The 13,705-nt window shown below is 34.9% G+C and overlaps 1 protein-coding gene across 3 annotated transcripts in view, besides 3 other annotated features; it reads right to left on the bottom strand.

Moving 5' to 3' along the window:
- CHIC2 (cysteine rich hydrophobic domain 2) overlaps positions 570 to 13,705 on the bottom strand; it is an 82,091-nt gene continuing 68,955 nt past the window's right edge. For all 3 annotated transcript variants that reach the window (XM_047450063.1, XM_006714037.5, NM_012110.4), the window contains 3 exons: positions 4,844 to 4,900; positions 4,618 to 4,677; positions 570 to 926 (listed from right to left, as the gene is read on the bottom strand). In XM_047450063.1, coding sequence (XP_047306019.1) covers positions 876 to 926; positions 4,618 to 4,677; positions 4,844 to 4,900 — 168 coding nt within the window. In that variant the 3' untranslated portion in view covers positions 570 to 875. The remainder of the gene's footprint in view (positions 927 to 4,617; positions 4,678 to 4,843; positions 4,901 to 13,705) is intronic.
- Positions 5,836 to 7,069: an enhancer, noted in NCBI's record as "VISTA enhancer hs687". NCBI's record gives its function as "enhancer in: neural tube[6/6] | forebrain[6/6]" and the evidence as "EXISTENCE:transgenic organism evidence [ECO:0001131][PMID:17130149]".
- Positions 5,836 to 7,073: a biological region, named in NCBI's record as "VISTA enhancer hs687".
- Positions 6,472 to 7,073: an enhancer, noted in NCBI's record as "OCT4-NANOG-H3K27ac hESC enhancer chr4:54881858-54882459 (GRCh37/hg19 assembly coordinates)". NCBI's record gives its function as "activates a minimal SCP1, AML or CMV promoter by ChIP-STARR-seq in primed H9 embryonic stem cells {active_cell/tissue: H9 hESC(primed)}" and the evidence as "EXISTENCE:reporter gene assay evidence [ECO:0000049][PMID:30033119]".

Consider the following 13,705-nt stretch of genomic DNA (forward strand, 5'->3'; position numbering starts at 1 on the left):
CATATATCCATTCTATAATTGTGATAGATTGGAAGAAATATTTTCCTTAGAAATTTTGTAAAGGAATACTTCCACTCTTTTGTATGTAAGATTTGATAAACGATAAAAACCCAAGTAAGGCCATTATTATCATCTTGATCAAAAATATACACAGATCGTGATGCTACTATATTGTGTGATCCTGAGTTCTAGTAACCACTAGATACATGCATACCATTCACTGATTTGTCTATTCTAATAAAAATTTAATCCTGTCTTACTACCTTTGAAGACAGAAATACTTTTAAAACTTTTTGATAGGTCTTCATAACATTACAGATTATCTGCCATAAACAGAGCATTAGGAATTGTATGAGAAAGGGTATGTTAGGTCCCAAAAGACTATTAAAGAAAACTTACTATTTTAAAATAATGACAATATCAAATTTGAAAAGAAAGAAAAAATGACAGAAAAAGTGTGCTTGCTGGAATAGGTAAGTTGAGCCTTACAAAGGTGTTTTTCTCTGTTAAGGAATTTATAAATAAAGGACTGTGTGTACCTTGGTGACAAAATAAAAAAGGCTGGCCACTTTTTATGCTAAGTTCAAATGTATTTTTTTGATAATACAAAAAAGTAATCCTTGAAAATCAGAATACATAACAGAAAAGAGCACAATAACTTAAGTATTAAACATCTGTATGAAATAACTGTTGCAAAGATTGACAAAAATGCACACTTAGAACATGCGGTTATTTAAAAAAAAAACAAAAACAAAAACAAAAAAAACACCACACGATTCTGTAGAACCAATGTTATGTCACCACCAGGAGAGCACCAAGCAAGGCACCATTGGAAAGACAACATACTTGGAAAGTCTCTATAAATAAAGTAAATGCTAATCTGGTCGAAAAATCGGTGTCTTTGGTAAAAATTCTATGAGGATGACCTGTAAAAGGAGAAGAAAAAGGTTTTAAAAGATTTAAACAAAATTTTTTCTTAAAACTTCAATTATATGCTTTCACAATTTTTTTGAAAATCCATTCACATTTTAAAACGCAACTTTGCATTACTAAAACAGATCTTTATCTGATAATGCAGAGTTCCATCACTGAGAATTTTTCTTTTTATTTCTGGACCTTTACCAAATACACGAAATACCTTGGCTCTATGAAAAGGAAGACAAATAAGCAAGTAAAATCACCAAAGTCTGAGAAGGGTGATATAGATAGTGCCCCTGATACACTGGAGGAGCAAACATGCATACATGCACGCTCCCCTGCACTCATGAGAAAAGAGGCTAGTATTTACTTAGAACTAACTGTATACCAGGTGTTCCATACTACATTGGGTCTCTTTAAACCCAACAACTTTTCTATGAGGCAAGTATTATAATCCTTATTTCACAGATGAGGAAACTGATGATCCAGAGAAGTTGTATCACAATTGAATGTGGAGTCACTGTTTGAATAAAAGACTGTCTTAACTCCAAAGCCTTGCCCTTTATACCACCCTACGTGACTGCAGCTCACCCAACATTTTTCTTTAGACTTTCTCCTTTTTAATCAACCCAACTACATGAGTCTTCTCTAAGTTCTAGAGTTGCTCTCATTTTACTCTACCAGAATATGTAATCTTTAGATAAAAGGTCCTTTATCTCTTAATTTTTTAAAAAGTCCATTTCTTCTTAGGTTAGCAAAATTAAAGGCTAAAATTTGTTCCAAAAGGCCTTTTAATAGGAAACTAAAGGAAAACCAACAAAAACAAAATATGGTAACACAGAATTACACAAAGTGACCAGAGCTAATTTTTCCAAATTTGAATTTTCTTAAATTACAGTCAACTCTTTCTTTTGCTCCAAATTTGTATTAAATAGATGGTGATTTAAAAATTATTTGATTTTAAAAGTTTCTAAGTCTAGTGAACTCATCATTCTTTTTCAGAAACTGTGTCTTGCTTGATATGACCTCCAGATTTCAATACTTCTACAAATTAGCTGTCTGGGCCAGGAATCTTCATTTTCACTCTTCAGTTCTCCTGGCTTTTGATCTGCCTCAATAAAGAAGATACACTTCTATACCTGGCTCAAAAATATTCCTGTCCTACTCTAGGTATCCTGCACTAAGGCTTAGCTGTCACATTTGCCACTCTCCTGACCTGTGATTTGCCTACAAAATATTCACTAGCTCCCTGTTAAAATACTTTCTCCCAACTAGCTTCTTCATTTGAGCTAGATTTTCCTGTTTCTCAGGTTTCTTATCTATAAAATAAAAGCATTGAACTAGATAACAAGATTCTTTGCAGCTTTAAAATTTGACAATTAAATGTTTAAACTACTTAGGAGTCAACATTAAATAAATAATTTTGTATTTCAAGTATGTCCTCAATCAGTCTTTATAATTTTAGTCCCCAGGTATGGGCATCCCCACACTTTATAATATACACTTTTAATACATAACATAAAATAAAGGCTATCTTTGCCTACATTTGAACTATTAGTTTTTAAATAATATATTCTACAAATTTTTCCTTCAGAAGCCACACATAGAGACTGGCCACTTGTCTCATTTATTCTAAATCATCCATCTCTACCATATCTGAACAAAGAAAAGTTAGTGCCAAGGTGGAATATATATATATATATTTTTTAGTATCTCCAATGTTCAAATTATAATCAAGGATAATTATTTTCTTTTAACAAAATTAAATTCCTGTAAGTTAAAGAAAAGTTGAAGAAAAGAGGGACACATGGTTAAAAAGGCCCAAATTCATTAGATAAAATGAATTTTATTTGCTAGTTTAACTTTTAAAATTCATTTTTATAAATTTTTTAAGCTACATTATTCTCACTTTCAACTATCACAAATATATATATATACTCTAAGAAAATCCAGCAGAACACATTTTTTCTCCCCAGCTTATTATTATTTTTTTTAAAGAGAGGTGGGTATTGCTATGTTACCCAAACTGTCTTTGTACTCCTAGACGCAAGTGATCCTGCTGCCTCAGCCTCCCCAGCTAGACTACTGGCATGCCCACTACACCCAGCTTTTTCCTGGCAATTGAAATATTTATTTTATCTTTACTACTCTTCTGGGTATCTTCTATGATGGAGTGAAAATAATATAATGGCTTTAGCAGAAGTGCTTAATTATCTAAAAATTCAAGGAAACTTATTTGACAAACAAAGCATATAGTTCAGAATGTTTTGGAAGGTTATAAATTATTTTATGAATAAATTATAGTCATATAGTTCTATCTGGAATTCATAGCATTGGGATAACTTTTATGTTTTCCTTTCCAAAGTAAATTTAGAAATGCATGAAAAAATTAATACCTCAGTTTTAAGCTTAGTGTTTGTGTTATAAATGTAGTAAATATTTTTTTCACTAAATTCTTTACATCTCCTATCCATCCCTCTCCCCAAAATATATACATAAACCCTCTATCTAAGATGAAAATACAAGAGTAGTCTCCTCACCTCAAAATGAGTTACTCAAATGTGTTATGATTATAAAGAAGTATCAAGTGTCTTTCTCATCATCATACATTAACATGTTTGATGTAGTAAAGATAAAATCTACATTATTTGGTTCATTGAATAAAGCTAGTCTAAGACATTTTAAAAATATTTTTTATGTTCAAGGCTAGAAATAGGATTTGACTGTGGGATAATGAAAGAACAGGAAAATGCTAACAGACAAAAATGATTTTATGATAATTTACAACTAAACACTGTTTTAATCAATATTTTACACATACACACGCACACATCTATGATGGCTATATTGTTTTAAAGAATAGACAAAATTCCTCAGAAATGTTGTAACAGGTACTTCACAAAGGCTCTGAGTTTTATTTTCAACTATTAACTTTTCCTTAGATCTTTTCTTTTAAAGTAATAACCTGGCCATATTTAAAATAAAATATCCAAGCTCAAAAGAGAATTAAAATTCTTAATTTTCTAGAGTATTCTGAAATTTTCAAAAGGAGAAAAACTGTTCAAGTAAATCATGGAGTCAGTAAATTAAATCCCATGCTGAGTAAGTTCTAAAATTCATTGTATATATATGCCAAATTAGATATTTTTTAACAAGTAAACACAAGATGATCAACATCTCATCTCCTGCTTACTTTTAATTTTTACAAAGCAGTATTCTAATAACACTTTAAAAGAGATTCTTTAAAGGGCACTGAGGTACGGGCAGTTAAAATCTATAAAGGGTAAAGGTTTCTTAAGCTCCAATGGCTTGGCTGAAAGGTTTTCTTCCATACTTGGAAACTTGATTAGCATTATATAAAAAAGCCATATCTGACTTGCTGCGTAACCAAAGTTGTGGTTATTCTTTATACAGCATCTAAAATTTCACACTCCATCAACACATGTTCAGGCTATTTTATCTTGGCAATTAATTTATTATTTTTCAGAACACAGTGAAGCCTTGTTTTCAAGTCATTCATAACTTTATAAATCAGTCTTGCACATGAAACCATGCATCTGTGAACCGTAGAAAATCCTTGCACTCAGGAGATTAAGCTCCTGACACCTTTGCTGATTAATAATCATGGAAAGAATAAGATCAGAAGCAAAATAAATGATCATTTAATAGAGAAACTCACAAAACAGCCCTTTAACTTACATATTCCATCATGTTATTCGTTTCACATTTCCTTTTGCTCAGTCTCCAATGCAAGCACAGCTAGACAAGTAGGAAAGTAAAAGAAGAAAAATGAGCTCTATTTTATTGCAGCACACAGACTAACCCATTTGTCCACCTTTCATATTTTTAGTTCAACAAAAGCATCTGTTTCCATACTGTGCAATTCAGACCCCAACAGTACGAAGCTGCTCCCTGTGGTACTCACCTTGTGGTATAACCTATTGTTTTCCCATTCTAATAACTTCTCAATCGATCTTCGTGTCTGGAAGACAAATGAGAAAAAAGTTTACTCTTGACTGGTTTTAGAAAACTTTGTTTTGCAGCTGCTTTTTCTGTGAAAAGGGGAGAGGTATAAGACAGTGACTGAGTATAGTGTGGTGTGCATCACTATCGATGTTCTAAGCACTAAATGGTAACCTGAACACAAAAGAGTACTCTTTCTTAAAAAAGATATGCCTTTATTTTTATCATACGAATCTTTTTTTACTAGCCTCTGATTTAAAACTATCAAGGTTTAAAAAGCTAATGTCATCTGCCAAATAAAATTAAATTCCCACTTCTTTCAAAAATGTTTCCAATACTTAAATAGTAACGGAAGTTCCTTAATACATATTTTAAAACAAAAGTAAATATTAGTTAACAAAATGCAAATGGCCTTTCAGTAAGTTCCAAAACAAAAAATTGGAATATTAAAAAAATCAATGAGTTATAAAATCAAATTAATTTTCACATCATGCTTAAAATAATGCCCATATTTAAAAGCCAGCTTACTGATTATTCTACCAATAGATTTTTTGAACAGAGCCAAAATTTTATTTAAACCAACATAAAAGTGTCATCTGATAGTAAAATCAAACTCTTAATTCAATACTACTGTTTCAGGAATCAACTGAGAATTTACTTCAGTTGATTTTTGCAAGATATGCTATGCTGCATGAAATGTTTCTTGCTTGAGAATATGAATAAAAGAGGGTAATTCATGGTGCCAGGTGTTAGGATGAGACTGACACAGCTGCAGGTGCAAAAATGACAGTGTTGCCACCAGGATCAACTTGCAACTTGGTTCAGCTGCACTTTTCTTGCAAGAGAAAGAAAAAAACATCTTACCACTATTAATGTGGTATAAAGAAGTACTAGTAATCAAATATGAAAATTTGCGTGTCAAGCAAGGATTAGCTAGGTGAAAAACTGTTAGGATCAAGCTGGGTTTGAACAGTTTAATGTTACATAATAAAATTTTAATATGTATTTAAAGTATCTACTTTAAATAGTTACATTACCTTTTAGCATATTAAACATGCTAAAGACACACCAAAGTCACATAGATGCCAATTATAATTCATAACTACCAATGAATTACGACTACTGCCTTACATTTTCCAAGCTTATGTCATAAAAATCGGAAAATCAACTACTTCCCTGGGTAATAATATGCCAATGACTAATTTATTACATTACTTTTTCTGAAGAGTCTTTTTGGCAAGAATTTTAAAGAAAAAAAAGTGCCCTTGTTAACAATGATCAGCAGACCTCACTTGTTTCTTTGTAAAGATAGCCTTTTAGAGGCAGCTCTCCTTTTAAATGAAAATAGGGCAGCAGTTATGGTCACACTTTTTGTTAATTTAGTTGCCAGTCAGCCCCAAATCAAAAGAAAATAAGGCTGCAGAGTGTAATTAACATTCAGTTCGGTCGTTTTGTCCCTTGTCTAGCCCCCAAGCTTTGTTAAAATTGCCATCTGAATGCTGAAGGCTGTAGGGAAATCGATTTGATTCTAATCGCACCATGAAAAGAACATGATCTAACTGCTTTCAGCCCTCCGTAAATCTGTACTAGGTCTTTAGCACAATGCAACTTCCAATTTAAAAAGCACTGAATGTCTCGTCAATGACTTTGTGAAGAAAAAAGAACAAGGAGCAGACATAAAAATTCCAATAGTTGTTTAAGCATTAAAGTTCATTTGCATCACAGCGAACCTGAAAAGGGCTGACCTCTCAAACCGCCTCTCAGGTCTATGAAGTTGTAGCCTTGACAAGCTCACATTGACAGAGCTCATTGACTCTGAAAGGCTACTCTATCAATGGTGAAAAATGGCAATAGGTTCTACTCTGAGCAGGCATCTGCCTGCCCACCCGCTGCTAAACCAATGGCAAAACCGATTCAAAACCTGAATCTACCTTGTAATCTTTCTTTCTAGGGCCTTTTAATAATAGATTAAGATTACTATACAATTTGAGGTTTTACTTTTACTGATGATTTTGGGGGTGGGTGGATGATGAAAGAACTAGAGCAGAACAAGTTTTCCAAGCCCACTGTTTTATATTAATGTATAAAATAGTACCCAAAAGCTTAATACTACATTCTGCAAATACTTATTACTTAAAGAAAAAAATGTAGTTACCACCATCATTTCATCAGAAGTTTAAACCCATGCTATAATAAGAATAGATCTCATTATGATATATAGACACATACATACACACAATTTTAAAACTTAAAAATATTTACTTTAACTTAAATCAACTACTAGTATTTGAATAAAAGATAATTACAAAGTATAAATCTTGAATTCCAAAATATTTAAGTAGGAATTCTGAATTTCTTCTCTGTTTATAATTAGGAGTTTAATGATAGGGCTTGGTATAATAATTGTATCTTACAATATTTAAGAATTATAAAACAAACAAGCCCTGATATGCCACATTCTGAATAAGCATATAAATATAAAATATTTCTACACACTTCACAGTCTGAAGTAAAAGCTGTGAATTAGCACCATCTAATTTTGCTATAAGACTTCTTTCCTGCTTGACAGGTGAAAAAAAAAGCACTTGCACGTGCAGCTTAATTAATCATTGCACTTGACATCTCAATGATTTACAGTGAGGAGCAGGTGAGAACATACAAAACCAGAAAGGAACCCTTGATTTGAGTGGAACATTTCTAGCACACTAAGGTGACAAGTATATAGATTCTAGCAGTCATTTAAAAAAAAAAGGAAAGAAACTGTGCCACAAATTATTTGTTAGTAACAACAAAAGCTCAAATTAAATAGAAAAAAAAAAGGTTGAGCTACTGAGAATGTTTAATACTATGCAATTATTGTTAGTTAAGAAAATCAAAATATATTTTCAAGATTAAATACAATACCAATTTGGCAGATACTAAAAAAAATGACACTTCAGCATTTATAAAAGCTACTTAAAAGCTTTTAAAAGAAAGCACTTTATAATTGTAGTCATCTAGATAAAAGTTAAAGAGTTTATGTCCACAAGGCTGTCAGGTAGCTATTTCTAATGAAATGTAAGATTCAACAGTGTCGAACTCTACACTTGCTAACTGTGGACAAGCAAATCTAATCATATAACAACCTGTCCTTGGTTTTTAAATGTTTATTTCAACTCCAAATTCAAAACAAGCTGAAGCAAATTAACATGCATCAGAAAAAAATATGTATGGGATCTGTCAACATGAAACAAAGTACCAAAAAACACCATCTTTCAGTATTCCAGGCCAGTTTCTAAAAAAATAAGTCATCTTTAATTTTCTTTAAGAGAATTTAGTGCTTGTGAAAAGCACCAGATTGATAGTCATGGGAACTAAAAATCTATTTAGCTGAAAGAACAGGGGAAGGGGCAGTGCAGGCTTTAGTGTAAGCTTCCCTACAGTGGGCCTTAATCCTTTTCACTGCTCACACCCTGGGGGTGAGGGGACAGGTTAGCGGTTCTTTACCAATGTAATTCTCCGTCTTTCTGCAAAAGATGATCAACAAGAAATGTAATTTTATCAAGTATTCTTATCTTTAATTAAAAGGACCAAGACCACCAACTCACAATATGCAGGAAAAACAACTTTTTTGTGTGAATGGCGTCATGTTACTAACCTGGTCTGGAAGTAGACAGCTCCAAGCATCTGGATCCCACCCATCTCCCTCAGCTCACTTTAAATAACCCTTTTTCTTTAAAAAAACAAAAACAAAAACAAAAACAAAACACACATTTCTTCATTTCCACACCTTAGTGGTTATATTTTTCTCATTGGTGAACTAGTTTTAATACAGCCATTCAGCTTTGTGAAAGTAAAAATTAACAGGAGATTTAAAAAATATCATTTCAATTACTGAATAGGTATTAAACAGACTTAAGTTGAGCAACAAGTAGTAGTAACATAAGAATAGAAATTTTGGCTTCTATTTATATTGCCTTTGGTCCCTTTTAGATTTTTGGTAGAATTGTGAAAATAGGAAAAACATGAAAACGGAAAGAGAACTAAAAGGGCCTCAGTAATTCATAAAATGGCTAATATGGTAATGATTAATCAGCAATATTAGATAAGACATACCCAAATAAGACATACCTTCCAAAGAAGCATCTAAAGTAAGCTTATAACAGCAAAGCACACATACACCTAGACAAACTCAATTACTGCAATAGAAAACTAAGATTTCCTGAAAATTCAAATTTGAATTATTATGTATTTTTGTAATTTTTCCTAAATACTGTAACTTTCTTAGGAATAAATTATTAATATTATTCCCTATAAACAAATTAAATGCCATTAGATATAAATTAGTCTTCCAGGACAGCAAAGAGCCATTTAGAAAATCTTTAAGGTATTAATCTCCTACTTTGCCACCACTGGTTACTTAAGAGTTTCCTAATTCCCAATGACTCATTTAATCACAATCAATTGTTTGAAAACATGGTTTTACAAAGAAGTGGTTTTCTAGACATTACTAATAAAACCAATGGAAATCTCATAAATTTTAGAGTATTGAGAGCTAAAGAAAAAAAATGTTAAGTGTAGAAACTGTAACAAAGTTTATCTTAATATTTCCCAATAAAATAGTATTATCAGTCTTTAGAACAAAAATATGCTATGATATGCTAATAAAATGTACAGAATACTCACTAATAACTATTTATAAAAGTTCACCTATTTAAACCTATAATTAAAATGTATTTGAATTGGATTTATTCATACCATCACAAAATGGGAAAGCAAAATTTCAAATGTTCAATTCCCTACTTAAATTTTAAACTCTTAAATCTATAATGCATTAATTAACCTTTAACTAAAATGTTTTGAATATATTCATAATCTTGTTTTTAACTTATATTTTTCAAATAAGAATGCTATTCATCTTTAGACATCTGTGTAAATTGAATTTGTTAAGTAAAACAATGTCTTTAGCTGTAAGTTATTAGGGAGAAACCATATATAATTTAAAATGAATTATTTTAACATAAGAGAACTTAAGAGGAAATTATATTATTCACTTCTGCTCATTCTGGATTAATATGAAATTTTATATTCCAGTGATGTGCAGAAAATTAAATAATTATATCACAGTATTATGCTACGTGAAAAGCCTAGATTCACCAAAAAACAAAAAAAAACTAGAATATGATTTCTCAAAAGGATTTTTAAACAAATTCCTTTCCTGTACATTAAAGCACCTTTTAAAATTTTAATATGAACATTAACTTTTAAATAATCTAGATATATTAAAACACCCACTGAAGTATCATGTGCTATTTGTTAAAAGTAATATTTTTAGATAGAAATACGCTAAAAAAAATTGCTAAAATTTTGTGAATCAAAAATATCCTCTAGTACTGAGCAGTGTCTTAATAGGTGCTAATCTTAAACAGAATTTCATCAAGTTTACGATCTAGGCTAGTGAGAGAATATTAACTTGTTTAGGTTATACTGGTTATGAATTATGAAAGATAGGGATTCTCTCTCTGCAGAAAAAAAGAAACATGTACACAAACATGCACAATTTAAAGGGGGTTATCTACTAACTCTGAGTACCATTTCAGAAAATACTAACATTTTAAAAAACTAAAATTAAGTTTTGAGGTCCCCATCTGACCCATCTTCTGCCTGACCTATTTCCACTAAGCAATCATCCCACTCGGTCTCAAAGGGTTCTTTTGGTTTCAATAATCTAGTCAAATAAAAATGCGCTTGGGTTGGGGCAGGGTGCAGGAAGGGTCTCCTTGAATTTGGGCAGCAAATATGTCACTATTATTGTTAAAAAAAAATTATCCAAAAAATTAAGAGATAAAAATTAATAAATATAGTTTCAACTGACCACAGAATATTAGAAAAACTGTTCATAAGACAAAGGAATTTCACTATGCAAATAAAATAAAAAGTACGGCTATCAGGAATTTTTAAAAATATATGTAATTACAAAAGAAAGAATCAGTGCTTACTGTCAGGCCTCTGAGCCCAAGCTAAGCCATCATATCCCCTGTGACCTGCACGTATACATCCAGATGGCCTGAAGCAACTGAAGATCCACAAAAGAAGTGAAAATAACCTTAACTGATGATACTCCACCACTGTGATTTGTTTCTGCCCCACCTTAACTGATCAACGTGCTTTGTAATCGCCCCCACCCTTAAGAAGGTTCTTTGTATTTCTCCCCACCCTTGAGAATGTACTTTGTTAGATCCACCCCCTGCCACAAAACACCACTCCTAACTCCACCGCCTATCCCAAAACCTGTAAGAACTAATGATAATCCCACCACCTTTTGCTGACTCTCTTTTTGGACTCAGCCCGCCTGCACCCAGGTGAAATAAACAGCCTTCTTGCTCACACAAAGTTTGTTTGGTGGTCTCTTCACACTGACGCGTGAGACATTTGGTGCTGAAGACCCGGGTCAGAGGGACTCCTTCGGAAGACCAGTCCCCTGTCCTCGCCTCACTCCATGAGGAGATCCACCTACAACCTCGGGTCCTCAGACCAACCAGCCCAAGGAACATCTCACCAATTTCAAATCGGGTAAGCGGTCTTTTCACTCTCTTCTCCAGCCTCTCTCGCTACCCTTCAATCTCCCTGCCCTTCCAATTCCAGTTCTTTTTCCTCTCTAGTAGAGACAAAGGAGACACATTTTATCCATGGACCCAAAACTCTGGCGCCAGTCACAGACTCGGGAAGACAGCCTTCCCTTGGTGTTTAATCATTGCAGAGACGCCTGCCTGATTATTCACCCACAATTCACTGGTGTCTGATCACTGCAGGGACGCCTGCCTTGGTCATTCACCCACATTCCCATGGTGGCAAGTCAATTGCGGGGATGCCTGCTTTGGCTCCTCACCCACACTGCAGCCCAGGGCTGCTCCCCACCACCCCGCTTCTCCGTGTCTCTACCTTTCTCTTTAAACTTACCTTCTTCACTATGGGCAACCTTCCACCCTCCATTCCCCCTTCTTCTCCCTTAGCCTGTGTTCTCAAGAACTTAAAACCCCTTCAACTCACACCTGACCTAAAACCTAAATGCCTTATTTTCTTCTGCAATACCGCTTGACCCCAATACAAACTCGATAATGGTTCTAAATAGCCAGAAAATCCATTTTACAAGATCTAGATAATTTTTGTCGAAAAATGGGCAAATGGTCTGAGGTGCCTGACATCCAGGCATTCTTTTACACATTGGTCCCTCCCTAGTCTCTGCTCCCAATGCGACTCATCCCAAATCTTTCTTCTTTCTCTCCTGTCTGTTCCTTCAGTCTCCACACCAAGCTCTGAGTCCTTTGAATCCTCCTTTTCTACAGACCCATATGACCTCTCCTCCCCAGGCTGCTCCTCAACAGGCTGAGCCAGGTCCCAATTCTTCCTCAGCCTCTGCTCCCCGACCCTATAATCTTTTTATCAACTCCCCTCACACCCATTCTGGCTTACAGTTTCATTCCGCGACTAGCCCTCCCCCACCTGCCCAACAATTTCCTCTTAAAAAGGTGACTGGAGCTGAAGGCATAGTCAAGGTTAATGTTCCTTTTTCTTTATCCGACCTCTCCCAAATCAGTTAGCGTTTAGGCTCTTTTTCATCAAATATAAAAACGCAGCCCAGTCCATGGCCCGTTTGGCAACAACCCTTTGACGTTTTACTGCCCTAGACCCACAGGGGCCAGAAGGCTGTCTTATTCTCAATATACATTTTATTAACCAGCCCACTCCCAACATTAAAAAAAGCTCCAGAAATTAGATTCTGGCCCTCAAACCCCACAAGAGGACTTAATTAACCTCGCCTTCAAGGTGTACAATAATAGAGTAGAGGCAGCCAAGTAGCAATGTATTTCTAAGTTCCAGTTCCTTGCCTCCACTGTGAGACAAACCCCAGCTACATTGCCAGCACACAAGAACTCCAAACACCTGAAGTGCAGCTGCCAGGGGTTCCTCCAGAACCTCTTCCCCAGGAGCTTGCTTCAAGTGCCAGAAATCTGGCCACTGAGCCAAGGAATGCCCTGCAGCCCGGGATTCCTCCTTAGCCGTGTCCCATTTGTACAGGACCCTACTGGATATCAGACTGTCCAACTCGCCCGGCAGCCACTCCCAGAGCCCCTGGAACTCTGGCCCAAGGCTCTCTGACTGACTTCTTCCCAGATCTTCTCAGCTTAGTGGCTGAAGACCGACGCTGCCCGATCGCCTCAGAAGCTTCCTGGACCATCACAGACGCTCTGGGTAACTCTTACAGTGGAGGGTAAGTCCGTCTCCTTCTAAATTAATATGGAGGCTACCCACTCCACATTACCTTATTTTCAACGACCTGTTTCCCTTGCCCCCATAACTGTTGTGGGTATTGATGGCCAGGCTTCTAAACCTCTTAAAACTCCCCAACTCTGATGCCAGCTTGGACAACATTCTTTTATGCACTCCTTTTTAGTTATCCCCACCTGCCCAGCTCCCTTATTAGATCAAGACATTTTAACTAAATTATCTGCTTCCCTGACTATTCCTAAGCTACAGCCACACCTCATTGCCACCCTTCTTCCCAACCCAAAGCCTCCTTCACATCTTCCTCTTGTATCCCTCCACCTTAACGCACAGGTACGGGACACCTCTACTCCCTCCCTAGCAACCGATCACATGCCCCTTACCATCCCATTAAAACCTAATCACCCTTACCCCGCTCAATGCCAATATCCCATCCCACAGCACGATTTAAAAGGATTAAAGCCTGTTATCACTTGCCTGTTACAGCATGGCCTTTTAAAGCCTATAAACTCTCCTTACAATTCCCCCATTTTACCTTGTCAAAAACCTGACAAGTCTT

This window comes from Homo sapiens, chromosome 4 (assembly GCF_000001405.40).
Source record: "Homo sapiens chromosome 4, GRCh38.p14 Primary Assembly".
Lineage (NCBI taxonomy): Eukaryota > Metazoa > Chordata > Mammalia > Primates > Hominidae > Homo > Homo sapiens.